Below are 15,739 nucleotides of genomic sequence, written 5' to 3'. Positions count from 1 at the left end.
TGCATGTGTGGACACAGCTTAGCCAGAGGCAGGCTTGCTTTCCTTGAGGTGCTCAATTGCATTGCTACAAATGGAGGGGCCTTAGGTTTCTCCTTTCACTCTGCCAAACTAGTTTCGTCTGTTTCTAGGAAAGAGAAGTACTCATTGTCTTGCAGTTTGCTGGGCAAAAGAACATCTAGTTCAACTGAGTTGTCTTCTTCCAGACTGCAAGAGTTGCACTTGGAGTCATGGTATCTGTATATGTGCATCTCACAGAATGGTATTAGTTTCTCTTTATAAGCCTAATGTCTGGGTGATTCCCCTTCTTTATTAATGAAAACCTGGAATTCAGTGACAATATATGATGTGTCCAAGGTCCAACCCACAGCCCACATGGTTTAGACTTAACAAATGGCAATAATGGAGCCATAACTGATATGGCTGATACTACCTTTGCCTCGGTGTTTCTATGGTTAGCTTCTTGCCATATCTCAGGAATAAAAGTAAACTTTCTGTAATTACATTTAGAGCAAGGAGTCATTGATGTGACTGCATTTTGGCCCAGAAAAGCATATCAGATACATCTGTAACACATTTGTTTTCCCCTCAGTATAGAGACAAAAAGTTAGACTTGATGGGAGCATTTAAATGGATTTAGAAATTCAACAGTATTTGGGCTGGGTGAGGTGGTTCACGCCTGTAATCCCAGCACTTCAGGAGGCCAAGGCAGGCAGATCATGAGGTCAGGAGATCAAGACCATCCTGGCTAGCATGGTGAAACCCCGTCTCTTTTTGTAAAAATACAAAAAAAAATTTAGACAGGCATGGTGGCACACACCTGTAGTCCCAGCTACTTGAGAGGCTGAGGCAGGAGAATCGCTTGAACCCAGGAGGCGGAGGTTGCAGTGAGCCGAGATTGCACCACTGCACTCCAGCCTGGGCAACAGAGCCAAACTCCAAAAAGAAAAAAAAAATTCAATAGTATTTCAAAATATAAATGGCCTTAAAAGGCAAATAAAATACGCATATCCTTTTGCACACTTTGAGTTGTACTGGTTTTTATAGTCAGAAAGTTCACTGCTTCCCTTTCCTCACTTCTTACCTCCTCATTCTATGGAAACTCTTCTCTTGGAGTTCACATGTGAACTTTGATACAAATTCTCCTTGACCTTTCTCCTACATTTGACACTATGGACTCTTTCCAACCAATACTGCCTACCACTCCTCTGAAATACCCAATACTCAATTTTGACATTTTTATCTTCCTTGCTAGCCTTGCCATCAACCTTGCCTACCTCACATCGCCACCTGCCTGGATTATTATGCAGGCTTCCATCTGGTCTTCCAGGTCCTAATTTCTCCTTCCTTGAATCCAGAATGCCAAAGTGACTAATCTTCCAAATATCTATATATCTATATATAGATATATAGAATTTTTTTTTTTTTTTGAGATGGAGTCTTGCTCTGTCGCCCAGGCTGGAGTGCAATGGCACAGTCTTGGCTCACTGCAAACTCAAGCGATTCTCCTGCCTCAGCCTCCTGAGTAGCTGGGATTACAGGCATGCGCCATCATGCCTGGTTAATTTTTGTGTTTTTGTAGAGACAGTTTCACCATGTAGGCCAGGCTGGTCTTGAACTCCTGACCTCAGGTGATCTGCCCACCTCGGCCTCCCAAAGTGCTGGGATTACAGGCGTGAATCACTGCGCCCGGCCCAAATATCCATATTTTAACCTGACCTCAAAATTCCTTCTTACCCAGAGGCCTTACTTACCTCCCCTGCTTCCTTTCCTTCACGTTCCTCCTAGCTCCGTACACTCCAGACACACTTGGCTTTGTTATAGTGTTAAATGCACAGAGTTTAACCCCTTCTTAGGGCTCTACACTGGCTTACTGTCTGCCTGAACTACTCCTCTCTGGATCATCCAAGACTGGTTGTTTCTTTCATTCAAGTGATAGTTTAAGTGTTCCTCAGAAAGGTCAGTCCTACTCCCTACACATGCATTCTGACACCTTTGCCCTTTATTTTCTTCAGAGCACCTTTTTTTTTTTTTTTTTGAGACAGAGTCTCGCTCTGTGTCACCCAGGCTAGAGTGCAGTGGTGTGATCTCGGCTCACTGCAAACTCCGCCTCCTGGGTTCACACCATTCTCCTGCCTCAGCCTCCCGAGTAGCTGGGACTACAGGCGCCCTCCACCACGCCCAGCTAATTTTTTGTATTTTTAGTAGAGATGGGGTTTCACCGTGTTAGCCAGGATGGTCTCGATCTTCTGACCTCGTGATCCGCCTGCCTCGGCCTCCCAAAGTGCTGGGATTACAGGTGTGAGCCACTGCGCCCGGCCCAGAGCACCTGTTACTCTTATAGTTGTATATCTACTTGTTCTTCTCTGTCCCTCCTGAACAGAATGTAACCTCAATAGGAATAGGAGCTTTTTATTTTACTACTTTATCTCCAATACCTAGAATGGTGCTTAAAGATTAACAAAAATGTGCTGAATAATGAACTTTATAGATCATATCACTTCCAATCCATTCAACAGTATTCCTCCCTGTTTCTATATAAACATACCTTCCAGTCCACATATGTTGTTCTTACCGTCCATGGAATTTACTCTCTATTGTGTCAGGTGCTTTGAACTTTTTTCTTCAACCAGATTGTAAGCTTCTGAAAGGCAGAGGCCCTTCCCTTTTTATACTTTTCTAGGCTTCCACACCTAGCAGAGTTCTGAGTAGAAACATACCAAAGTGCATTTGGTACTTATTTAACAAACACTTATTGATTTATTTCCTATTGTAATATTATATGCTGGATTACTGAGCACTTTTATATCAGTGGGGCTGAAGTAGAAATAAAAATTAGCTGACCATAAAACACCAGCAGGGACAGGAGCAGGGTGAGCATTTCCTTTTTTACCTTCTAATTCTATTTAAACAGTAAACTACAGTTTTCTGGAATGAGTTTGTGACGATGAGGGTCTACCTTGGGAAAATGTCTGGCTTCCTTGTCTATCAATTTAGAGGCTGTACCAGTGAGTGTTGATCATCTTCCAACTCTAAGGTGCCAAGTTCTGTATGTCCTGTTATTGACTCCTGCTACAATCCTAAAGTCATCTTGGACTTCATTCTCATCTTTGATTCTTACATATACTCAGTGAACCCAAGTCTTTCCTTAGTTGCATTTACGACCAACGATTCTTTTAAATTCTATTTGCTTCATCAGAACTGGACAAGGCTATGGTCCCCCTGTCTTGTCCTCCTTTCCCCATTGCAAGTCCACCCAGATGATTTCCTATTAGAATAAATATCTCAGGCTCAAATTTAGGCCCCTTATCAATGATCCTACTCTATTATTTCAGCTAGTTTTCTGTTGTTTCTAAAATGAATCTCCTGTTTTACCTCAGCTGATCTCCTATCTTTTTCTTGGTTATTGATGTGCTTATTTTCTTCTTAACTTCTTTATTTAAGCAATTTCCTTTACCTTTTTTCTCCATAAGGCAACCTAAATTCTAAATTTCACTTTTTGTCCTTTTTTGTTGTTATTGTTAAGAAGTCTTCCCTTAATTTACATGGATTATTTTCCATCTTAAAATTGGTAATTTACAATCGAATCCTTCGTTAGTAGTGTTGAATTATCATTTTGTGTTTCATATTTTACCTTCCCGGTGATGCTGTAATTTTCTTGGCAATAGGGTCTTAATAATTCTTACAATTAGGCAAAGACCTTGTCACCACCGAGGATGAATGCATTTGGTTGGTTCATGGCTCCGGAGGTCTGGCCAGAATTGCCTGGATCATGCAGATGAACCCTGACTGAGATGAAAGTTGTGCAACAGGAATCCTTGAAACCAGTGGGACAAAACAGCTTCGACAGAAATACCTTCCTAGCTAATGCCAAGTGCAATTTTATACATCACTCAGACCATGTAGGCAAAGCTGCAAAGTCAAGGAATTTTGATGTTGAATAGCTTTATATAAGTGTTAAATATTAACATGAGCCAGATGCTGGCAGGTATGTGAGACAGAAAGTCTGAGTTTGAACCCTGGCTTTGTTTCCAATTAAGCTGGGTAATATTGGGTAAACAACTTACCCTCTCTGGGCTTCAGTTCTTAATCAGATTAAAAAAGATTTAAAAATTTTTTTCATTTTAAAATGAAAGGATTAGACTCCCAATTATTTTAAGAACCAGTTTAATTATAAAATTATGTAATTCTATTTTTAAAACAATGAAATGGCAGCCATAAACTTTAGGATTTTTCAGATATTGTGGTTCGATTTAGAATTTTTCCATTTTACAATGGGTTTATCTGGATGTAACCCCATGGTAAGTTGAGCAGCTTCTTATGACTTATGATGGGGTTATGGTTTCTACTGAATGCACATACATTTCATACCATCCTAAAGTTGAAAATATTGGAAGTCGAGGACCATCTGCTGTGTTGCTAGCATTAAATGCAATTTTGGCTTACAATATTTTTAACCTACATTGTGTTTATTGGGAAGTAACCCCATCGTAAGTGGAGAAGCATTTTGTATTTTATTCTGTGTAATAGGATTTACTAGTTTCATGTGTAGTCAGAACACTCACTTTCAGGTTTTGGCATTTACTCTTTTCTGTTTCTCAATTTGTGTGAAAGTGGATGGACAGATGGTTTATTAGGCTTTCAAATGCTTACAATGCTGTTGTTCAATTCAACAATGGTTTTAAACTTTGAATGTCCACACAGAGCTGGATTTTGTTTGGAACGGAAGATAGTTTCGACGCTTCAATTTAAGGATAAGAATGTTTACTCACATAACTTAAAGCAACTTGTGGATATAAGTACAAAGACCTAATCGATTTCCTTTATTTTGGTATGTTTCCTAATTCATTTCCACATCACAGCCTAACTCTTCCGAGTTGCAGTTTTAAAAATGAAGTTACTTAATAAACCAGACATCCAGTTATATTTGCATGTTTTGCCTTCACCAGAGTCATTTAACCTACAACCTCCTTCCAGATACAAAAACCTTTACTTTAGAAAGGATCCTTTACTTCATAAAGGAATTTAACGAAGGGACACATTCCTCACTTTACAGTCAAGAACACCTGGGACTTCCTGGTACTCTTTCTACTATGTATTCTATAAATAAAAGAGCTAAAGTGAAATTAGGTCGCAGCGAAAAAACATCCAACATTTGTGAATTTTAAGCCCCAACAGAAAATCCCATTCCTTGAAATTCAAGTGGCAATGAGAATATTATTGCATAAGGAAAATATAGATGGAACTATGCAAGTCAAATGATGGTCTCCACTGCTGTCGCTTTGCTTTGTGATTTTTAATTACTCAATGTGACTCTCCTCGTGTAAATGGGACCGCGAATATGCAATTATTGAATACTCAAACTGCATCAGAAGTGTGTGGAGTAGTCAGAACCGAAAGGACGGGAAAAATGGAGATAAAGGAAAGCATGAGCCTTGCCAGGAGGGAATCGAGGAGGTCCAGAAGGAGGGATATTAAGAGGCATTGGCAAAGCAGCTGTGGAGGAGCTCCGGGCTGCAGAGCAGGTAGAGGTGTCGGCAAGGGAGCCAGGAACCCGCACAGGGGCCCTGAGGCTCTAGTAGGCCGGGGAGTGGACCAGGAAAGGAGATGCAACGGGCCGGCTGGAAAACTGCACGGGGAATCCGAGGTCGACCTAATGAACAGCACAGACCTTCCAGAAGGAAAGAGAAGGTGACTATGCGAGCTTAGAACAGGACTAGGAGGTTGGGGAAAGAGTACGAAAAAGCTGAAAGGGCGGACAGGGTGCTGACGAGATGGGAAAGGGCGCACAGGGAGGTGGGGAGCAGTGCGAGGCCGGGGGACAGTGGGCAGGTGCGAGGAGCCGAGCCCGCGGGCTGGGGCGGAGCGATTCGCGCGGGCGGGAGCGCCGCTGACTCAGGGACCTCGCGCCAGCGGAGTCCGGGCGGCGCAGAGAGGCGGAGCCTCGATTGCGCGGGCGGGCCGAGGGGCGGGACCAGCGCCTGACGCGCCCGGAGGCCGAGGCGGCCGCGGGCCGGGAGGGGCGGCGGCATCCGCGGCGGCCGCGGGGGAGGGGCACGGCGTCAGCGCGTCGCCGGCTGGGCCGCGCCGGTGGCCAGGAGGGAGAGACAAGGAGGAGGAGGAGGAGGAGGTGAGTAGGCTCCGGGCTGGGGAGCCGCGCGGGCCAGCGGGGAGGCGGGGAGCGCGGCCCCTCCCCTCCCCTCCCCGGCGCCCGCCTCGCGGGGCCGCGCTGCGCGGAGATCCCAGAGGGGCAGCAGCGGCGGCTGCGGCGCGGGGAGCCGGGGGCGGGGGGTGTGGGGGAGGCGGAGCTGAGAGCCGCGCGCTTCCCGGGCGCACGCGCTGCGCTCCCTGCGCCGCCGTCCGCACCGCGCTCGGAATGGGGCGTCACGCCGTGGCATTTTGTGCCTTCTGCAAACTGGTCGTGTTCGAATTGCGTTTTTTTGGTGCCTACATGTCGTGCGTGCTGGTTTTCTGCGGCCCGGCGCTCCGCTTCTTCCTCGCGCAGGCTGAGAGGACGGGTGGGGGCACGTCGCCCTCGCGCGGGAGAAGGGAGGCCGGGCGTCCGGGTTGGCCTGAGTTGGCTGGGGTGCTTCGCCGACCACCAGGCTGCCCGGCGCTTGGCCCCTTGCAGTGCGAGCCCCAGGCCTTCCTGACGGAAAGCTTCGCTTCTGGCTCCTAGTCGCCCTCAGTTACCAGACCTCCCCAGCGCCCCACTCCTCTCTGCCAGCCGAGTGTGAAGACCCTCACTGTGCCCCCCACCCCGGAATCCCTCGTCTGAGGATTAAGCACATAACTTCCCATTTTCATCGGGATCCAGACAATCCCATTCTGTCCAGGTGGAAAGATTCTCTGAATTTAAGTCTTGGGAATGCAGCAGCGAAATTTAACCTTTAGTCCCGAAGTAGTTTTTTTGCCTTCTCTCGCACATACAACTTTTAGAGTCTTCTGACAACTGTGCTGCTTTAGGTTATCTTGAGATTCTTAAGTTAATGCCTTGAGGCCGTGTGATGGGAGTTTCAAAGAGAAGGCTTTTACAGCTTTTCTTCCACCTGTATCGCAGTTTGAAATGGAAAACGTGAGTTGATGATGATTTTCCATACGAGATGGATTTCAGTTTGCAGCCCCGGCTGCCGTGGCTCACTTGGTTATTTGGTGCCTACCCCTGAAGTTGATTTTAAAGCTTAAAATAGTGGTTAGGTAAAGGAGCTGCTGAAAAAGAAGTTCAGTACAATTCAATAGAGCCATTCTATTGGCTTCTATTAACGTGTTTAACCTTAAGCTTTAACCATGACAGGAGTTTCATGTAGGAACCCACATACCAAGTGAAATATTGAATTTTAATTAGTGCGTTCCAGGTCTGACTTGGATTAGATTCTTCTCGGCTCCCACTCCCTTTTGGTATACATTTTCCTTAGGGTCCTGTACTGTATTTAATGAAACAGTTTTAGTATTGAGGATTAGAGGAGTACCTCTTGAATCACGAAACTTTCTTTGACATGCTTGAAAACAATGAATAGGTAAAATCTGAAGCATGATACTTGCAATAAGGTAGGAAATAGTAAATTTTTTAACATCACCAGTTTGCAAAGGTTAAGATGGCTTCTTTAGTCTTGATTTGAAAATTGTGTTGGCATTTTAATCTTATGCATCACAGAAATACAGAATTTTCGATGTTTAAGGAACATTAACAGTATAATCCAATCCCATTATTTTATAGAGAAATTAAGAATCGAAGACAGTTTCTTGATGAGATTTAGCAGGAGCTGAATAGAACTAGTAGTCTTCATTAACTAAACACTTAACTAGGTAATTCAGACCTCTTGTACTAAAGTTTGTTTGATTATGGTACTAAAGTTTGTTTGATTATGGTATCTTAAAAAGCCAAGTAATTAAATGAAATTTTTTTCCTTAATTTATGATTTGGACCCATTAGATTAAAATGCCATGAATTGTACATAGTTAGGAAGTATTTACATTCTGTGAGTTTAAACATTACTTTCCAGTGTTTTTGAATTAGCAATTATCTTGCGCTTCAAGAATCGATTCATATTTTTGATTCGGATAGCCTACGTCACTTCCAGCAGATTGGTATTTTAAGAGTCTTAGAGTTATGGTGTATATAAACCGTGGTTTAGTCATGTGTCATTTAATGACAGGTATGTTCTGAGAAATGTGTACTTGTGGGAGCATCATAGAATGTACTCACACAAACCTACATGGTATAGCCTACTTCACACCTAGGCTATATGGTATATAGCTTATTAGTCCTGGGCTACATCCCTGTTCAGCATGTTACCGTACTGAATACTGTGCCTAAACACACCTAAACTTAGAAAGGGTACAGTAAAAATACGGTATTATAATCTTATGGGACCACAGTTGTATATTCGATGTTTTGTTGACTGAAATGTCATGTGATGCATGACTATCACTTAGGAAGGGAAATCCTATCACATGTAATAATCTAATTCCAGCACGCCCAATCTCGCATTTCAAAGTGGACCTCAAGTGCATGAGTCCTGAAGTTCTTGCTGTGGTGCGATGAATTTTTTACATCCCAGAGTACAGTGTTTAGTGTAGACATTTAGTAAATACTTGTTGGCCTGTGCGCACTTTCCTGGTAGGCGCTTCGTGAAAGTTCGGCTATGTCCTACTCATCTGTGTATACCTGTTATCATGTGTAGTGGGTACTCTTTAAATGCTTATGATCTTGTTGGGCTTAATCTAATTTTTGAAGGTAGCAGAGTGCCTGGAAGTCCTGAATCATGATATAGTAAACTTGAACTAACTCAGTTCCTTTTTTGTGTTGAACCAGGTACGCTGTTAGGTTGAATTCCAATATTGAAAGAGGTAGCAGGTGTCAGATACTTTAGAAAAATTGGGAGAAGAAACTTCACACTGCTAATTTTGTTCTGTAACTTATGTTAGTCACTCTGATATTGGGAAAGAACATTATTTTAGTAATAGAACACCTTAGGTGAGCTAAAATAATACAATGTTTCCATGAGAGCAAAGTGTGACAACCTGAATTGAGTGACCCTCTGACTGTTACCATAGGCCACGTTTTACAATTTTGGTTTTATTTTATAAGGATATGTTTTTCAGCATATAGACCTTTATAAGGAACGTAACTTTACTTCAGAGTTTGGACTACCTTGGCAAATTGTCCCAAATGATATTTTAAATAGTTTTAGGTTGTATTTGATATGTTATGCTTCTTGTTGGTATTACATGAAGAACACTGTGTATTCTTTTACTTATATTCTTACCTCTTCTTTTTTTTTTAATATCAGAATAATAGCATGTTTTTTATTTTTATTTTTTTTTGAGGCAGAGTCACACTCTGTCACCCGGGCTGGATTGCAATGGTGTGATAGCAGCTCACTGCAGCCTCCGCCTCTCTGGTTCAAGTGGTTTCCTGCCTCAGCCTCCTGAGTAGCTGGGATTACAGGAATGCGCCACCATGCCTAGGTAATATTTTTTGTGTTTTTAGTACTGATGGGGTTTCACCATGTTGGCCAAGCTGGTCTCGATCGCCCGCCTTGGCTTCCCAAAGTGTTGGGATTATAAACGTGAGCCTCTGTGCCCTGCCTGGTTATTTTTTAAAAAAAAACTGAGGAAAATTTTCAAGTATTTCTCTTGGAAGTACAAACCAACACTCCATTCTTTGAATCTCCGGAGTAAAATTTGGGCTGAGCAGATGCAGAGCCAATTCCATAGGCTGATTCCTAGTTGAACATGTAGAGTCATAGAGGTAATAGCTTTCATAGGGACGTCTTTGAACTACTTTCTTTTTTTTTCTTTCTACTAATATTACTGAAAGCAGTTGTACGGTAGAGTAGGATGGTGTTTAATTTATAGGAAGCAAATCAGCTCACATCTGTAATTGCTGGTTCTGATGTCAGTCCTAGTCTGCCTGGCCTACTCACTGCCAGATCAGTTTCTTCTATTCAGACCGAAGATATTTTAAGACCTCTGTCACCTACAACGGGAAGGATCTGGAATTATTCTGGTGCCCTGAGCATCCATTGCTCACAAAGGTATGCTGTCTCACTATATCCTTTGGATGTACTCAGTTTGCCTGCAAGATTTTCATTTTTAAAGCACTTTTCTCATAAGGAGTTTTGAAATAATGACAAACACCTTAACTAAGTGTGTGTGAGGCATCTAGAATATTTCAAAATAGTTATAGATGGAGTTAGGATATAGAATCAGACAATTAGTAAGAATATCTAGTGCTTTTCCCCTATGCTGTGTAGGATCACACAAGTCATTTAAACAGACGATAATTTTTTTTGAGTGTTTAAAAAATAACCAGAGCCAGATGTGGTGGCTCATGCTTGTAATCTCAGCACTTTGGGAGGCCAAGACTGGTGGATCACCTGAGGTAAGGAGTTCGAGACCAACATGGCCAACATGGTGAAACCCCATCTCTACTAAAAATACAAAAATTAACCGGGCATGGTGGCACGTGCCTGCATTCCCAGCTACTCGGAGGCTGAGGCAGGAGAATGGCTTGAACCTGGGCGGTGGAGGTTGCAGTGAGCCGAGATGGCACCACTGCACGCCGGCCTGGGTGACAGAGTGGGACTCCATCTCCAAAATAAATAAATAAATAAATAACCAGAGAAGCAATTCCACAGTCTTTTCTTAGTAACTTATAAATAGTCCATAGAATTTATGTTTCTTGGGTGGTTTATTTTTGTATTCCAGGTCCTTTGTGGAACTGGAACCTTGTCTTAAGCATGTTTAGGCATCCTAACAGCTTGATCTCCCTCTCCTTGCTATCTCCCCTACCTTTAGGGGGCTGGGACCTATTCTTATCCATAGGTAGGTGGTTGGGGTCTTGCAGAGCCAAGATCCTGTGATACTGTTTTCTGGACTCACATCACCAGATTGACCCTTTAGATACTGAGATCTAGGCTCCATGGCTGCTATAATTTGAACTTTTTTGAGGGTCAGCTTTTCATTTGCATGAGGGACTCTAGGACACCCTGGATTCATCCAGTCATGAGTTAGAACGCCTTTCCTGACTAGCCAGCTGTTGGATTCTTTGCTTTCTTAGTGGAGACACTTAAGGATGTCTCCCATAAATCGGTGATTTTTATGCAGTTCAATGGTAGCTCGTTATTTTTCAAGTGTTTAATTTTCTGCCTTTTTCTTCTCTTAGTTTTGAGCTTTCATTTGTTCAGGTATTGGGGTTCTCACCACCCCGTGTTTAGGTTCTATTAATTTGCTGGAGTGACAGAACTCAGGGAAACACATTTACTTGTTTATTATAATGGATATTGCAAAGGCAAACAGATGAAGAGACGTGTGGGGTGGGGTATGGGGGAAGGGGTGCAGACCTTCCATGTGATCTCTGAGTGCATCTCTCTCCAGGAACCTCCATGTGTTCAGTTACCTGGAAGCTCTCTGAACTCAGTTCTTTTGGGTTTTTGTGAAAACTTTATGACAGCATTCCTTCCTCCAGGGTATAGAATGGGATCCTCTGTGGGTTGGGGGCAGGGCGTGTCTGTCTTGGGGCAGGAGAAGGTCAGAGGCTTTCCCTGAGGCCTAACACACCCACGTCGTAGCAAAAGACTGGATCAAGGGCTGTGGTAGTTATGAGCCAGGAACCATGCATGGAATCTTCCTCTCTCTCTCATCTTGCTCTCTCTCTGTGTGGTATATATAAAATAACATCACAGGTATCTATTACACATTCCTCAAGCAAGGTCATTATCTGTCTTTACATCTAGATCATGTGTACCCCAGGGTTGGAACTGAATCTGTCCAGTTCCCTGGAGGTGTCCTTAGCACTCAGTACATATAGCAGGTGATACATATAGATTAGATATAAATTTCTCCCAACAATAAGTTCTGTTATCAGTGTGGGAAGCCAGTGTTCATATAGAAGTTTAAAATTAATTCAAGAAGCTTAGACGTTTCATTGCCATCGTTAGTACTGGAGAGTCTGTGTTTTTTTTTTTTTTTTTTTTTGAGATGGAGTCTCACTCTGTTGCCCAGGCTGGAGTGCAGTGGCGCAATCTCGGCTCACTGCAAGCTCCACCTCCCGGGTTCACGCCATTCTCCTGCCTCAGCCTCCCGAGTAGCTGGGACTACAGGCACCCACCACCATGCCCGGCTTATTTTTTGTAGTTTTAGTAGAGACGGGGTTTCACCGTGTTAGCCAGGATGGTCTCAATCTACTGACCTCATGATCCGCCCGCCTCACCCTCCCAAAGTGCTGGGATTACAGGCGTGAGCCACCGTTCCTGGCTGAGTCTGTGTATTTTAAATTGTAGGCATATCCATGTAAAAAATGGCATCAGTCACCTGACAGGACATTTAATTAAGAAGAAAAGTTATATAATTTTCACTATGTTGCCTTGTAAGGCATTGGAGATTTCAGTTTTTCATGAATTTGATTAATATGTATATATTTCTTACAATTAGTTTTATTATGAAGAAGTGAGTTTAATGGCCCTATTTTTGTTCATTAGTAATTGTATACTAAAGAGTAAATTCTCATTAAAAGGCCTTTAAATGCCTGCTCATAAAGAAGACAGACCTCTGATTTTGTTCTCTATACAATCCCAGTTATTGTTTTGAGGCAAGTCATCAAACTCTTTAGTAGTCTAAACCTTTAATTTGGTTTCAGAACAGTAGTCATGTATTGAACACCCAAATTACCATGTCTGTAACAAGTAATGCAAACACTCCGTATTAAAAATGCAATGACTGCAACTGTTTTTGTAAAATTTCTTGTGCTAATTTTTTAAAGAGGACTTTTGAATTAAGTTTCTCATGAAGGCCAAAATCTTATACTTTTAATGGTAGTGGAGTGTGTGTATATGTGTAGAGGCGAGGGGGTGGTAATTTTTGCAGTGGTATTTTTAAGTGGACAGTTTACTAATTATGTTGAGGTAAACACTTTACAACTCTAAAAGGAAAACTTCAATTATCTGAATGAAATGAGGTACATGAAATTAATTCAGATAAGTGGGGGAATCTTTGGTGTAAATGATGCATGTCAAGGTACATGACCTCAATCTTGATTTTTTTTTTTTCCTTTTTTCTTTTTCTATATATCTGTTAGCTGCTTACGAGATTGTGATTCTTTTAGGTCATGTTAGGAATCATTGATGGGGGAGGCAAAGTTGCTCTATAGTTTTGTTTTTTCTTTGCTACACAGGAATCCAGAGTGTGGTATTCTGTGACGAGTATAATTGCTCATCTCTCCCCTGCACTGCCTGCTGTTTTAGGTGGTACACCACAGCCTTCCATTTTGTCACCTTCCTGTCAAAAGTGTGTGTGACTCCTTAAGAATACAAGTTGTTTGAAATTAAAGCCACACTCCTCTGTCCAATCTCAAGATGTTTATAATTCCTAAAAGTTGAGTTACAGCAGGTTATAAAAGATATGGGATTGAGGTAGATGAACCGTGATTCCTTCTCTGTCCTCCTTTGGGTTTAAATATTAAGCAGCTATCTTGTAGTGTAGGCCCTTAAAATAGAAACAAAGGGTTGGGGCATGATGCCTAGCCTTTATAGATCCTAACTTGAAATGAAAATTTTATGGATTGATTAGAGTTTTAGGAGAATGATTATCTGCTGCAAATTACTAAGGTTTGCAGCATTCCTGGGCTCCTGGCATCTGAAAGCTATTGTATAATCTGTGGAGAGCCTGTTAGGTGTGATGACGTTTGTCTTCTAGGCTTTTTTTTTTTTTTTAAATGGAAGCAAGCATGTCTCAGCCACAGAGATGTGTACTGACACCTTATAAGTGAATTTACTTTTTTCTTTACTCAAAGCACCTGAAAACATGGCTCTTTATTTTCAGTGTGCACCAGCTTCCTTTTCACCTCTTGGTCTTTAAGATACAAGGTGATTCATATCTTGATTACCTTGGGTAGGTGGGTATGATATCAGCAAGCTCTGTGTCCGGACCTTGTGAGCAATTCCTAGGTCATTGCCTGAGGCCTTCTTAAATATATGCAGGTAATGTGACTGCAGATTTTGGGTTTCACAGTCAGTCCAGATTGATTTTGACTCTGGGCCATTTATGAGCAGCAAGCCTTTGCGGGGAGTTAGTAACTGCTCCGAGTTTCAGTTTTCTCCTATCTGATGGGGGGGATTAGTCTTTTTTAGTGTTATCTTTTTTTTAGTAACTTAGTTGTATTAATCTGTTGTCGTATTCAAATGGTGTGAATTAATGAACTATCTAGAGCATATCATTTTAAAAGGAAGTAGGTTTTGTACTATTTAAAGACAGAGGTAATCAAATTAGTAAAAATCTTTCCAAATAGAGGTCTTACTCAATTGACTTTAAAACTGTATAAGACTCTTGTAGTTATCAGTTTATTTATATACAAATAATACACTCCTGCGTGGTATAGCAAGGCAGAGTATGTATTGTATTCTGTAGTCAGACAGACTTGTATTGGATGATTCATCACTTTCCACTTCGGTAACCTTGGGCAGGATACTTTACCTATTTGATTCAAAGTTTTAGTCTGTAAAACTACTAATGAAGATTTAAAGAATAGAGATGTAAAGAACAATAAAGGGTAATAAGGACAATAAAAAGGTGGTTGTGAAGACTTAAGAGGAAGGTATGCAAAATGCTTGGTTATGCCTGAACCCAATAAATACTGATAGTTGCTGTTGTGACCTTGGACAAGTAACTTCACCTTTCTTCATCACAGGTTTCCTTATCTGTAGCATAAGTATACAGCTAACTAATAGGTTTAGGGTGAGGATTAAATGAGATAATACATGTAAGTGCTCACTAAATATTAATTGCTGTTGTTATATAAACAAATTAGACCAATTTTTGAGTTCAAGAATTCATACACATATTTAGTATATTTATTATATGGGGGATATTCACTGTGGATTTGGGGATGGTGACTTATTCATAGCTTTTAGTGTTTCCTTAAGATAACAGTTCACAAATTGTGGCGTACAAATCCCTAGGGATCACTGAGACCCTTTCAGGAGTGTCCATGAGGTAAAAACCATTATCATAGTAACGCTAACTTTTTGCCTTTTCTACTGCTTTGACATTTGCCCTGCTGTTGTAAAAGCAATGATCGATGAAACTAAGCATTCTAGAAATTAAATGGCAGTAAGACCCAACTGTACCTAGTAATCATGGTATTCTTCACAGCTGTGCATTCACAGAAAAAAAGAAAAAGCCACTTTCACTTAAGAATGTCCTTGAAGAAGTGATAACAATTGCTAATTGATTAAATTTTGACCCTTAAGCATACTTTGTTTTAATATTTGCTGTGATGAGATACGAAATGTGCAAAAAGCATTTCTGCTGCATATCCAGAGTACATTGCCTGTCTAGAGGAAAAATCCATATGTGATTTTTCTTTTTGAGTTGCTAGTGAAACTAGCCAAATTTTGCATGAAGCATCATTTTTACTTGAAAGAATGAATACCAAACTGTGACTATTTAGACTTAGAAATTTGGCAGTCATTTTCTTGAAAATGAACAAAGTGAGCCTGTCACTTCAAGGAAAACAACTGACAGTTTGTTGCCAATGATAAAATTCAAACTTTCAAGTGAAAATTAAAATTTTAGAAAGCTTGTGTTACCTGCTGTGCTATTGTCAGCTTCCCAGTACTTAAAAGATTTTCCTGATGAGATGATGGGTGGTGATTTTTATGAATGTGAGTTTTTGCTATTATATGATGAATTGTGTCAAGATTTGTAATATCTGTATAACTCAGTGAGCCAATATTTTCAA

General features: G+C 41.5%; 1 protein-coding gene across 55 annotated transcripts in view, besides 4 other annotated features; it reads left to right on the top strand.

Annotated features, from left to right (window-relative positions):
• Window positions 5,421-5,998: an enhancer, noted in NCBI's record as "H3K27ac-H3K4me1 hESC enhancer chr2:145090135-145090712 (GRCh37/hg19 assembly coordinates)". NCBI's record gives its function as "activates a minimal SCP1, AML or CMV promoter by ChIP-STARR-seq in naive H9 embryonic stem cells {active_cell/tissue: H9 hESC(naive)}" and the evidence as "EXISTENCE:reporter gene assay evidence [ECO:0000049][PMID:30033119]".
• Window positions 5,421-6,379: a biological region, named in NCBI's record as "H3K27ac-H3K4me1 hESC enhancer GRCh37_chr2:145090135-145090712".
• Window positions 5,497-15,739, top strand: part of QTMAN (queuosine-tRNA mannosyltransferase) — a 395,002-nt gene continuing 384,759 nt past the window's right edge. For 35 of the 55 annotated variants that reach the window (NR_164804.2, NR_164801.2, NR_164808.2 and 32 more), the window contains exon 1: window positions 6,054-6,127. The gene's annotated coding sequence lies outside the window, so the exon portion shown is untranslated. Of the gene's footprint in view, window positions 5,689-6,053; window positions 6,128-6,331; window positions 10,038-15,739 lie in introns of those variants that run through there. The other 20 variants (NR_164800.2, NR_164799.2, NM_001376325.2 and 17 more) reach the window with 6 other exon arrangements.
• Window positions 5,780-6,379: a silencer, noted in NCBI's record as "silent region_11993". NCBI's record gives its function as "represses an Ori minimal core promoter by ATAC-STARR-seq in GM12878 lymphoblastoid cells {active_cell/tissue: GM12878}" and the evidence as "EXISTENCE:reporter gene assay evidence [ECO:0000049][PMID:35858748]".
• Window positions 14,464-14,513: a silencer, noted in NCBI's record as "silent region_11992". NCBI's record gives its function as "represses an Ori minimal core promoter by ATAC-STARR-seq in GM12878 lymphoblastoid cells {active_cell/tissue: GM12878}" and the evidence as "EXISTENCE:reporter gene assay evidence [ECO:0000049][PMID:35858748]".

The sequence above is a fragment of the Homo sapiens genome, chromosome 2 (assembly GCF_000001405.40).
Source record: "Homo sapiens chromosome 2, GRCh38.p14 Primary Assembly".
Taxonomy (NCBI): Eukaryota; Metazoa; Chordata; class Mammalia; order Primates; family Hominidae; genus Homo; species Homo sapiens.
This window is presented reverse-complemented; position numbering and strand designations above follow the sequence as displayed.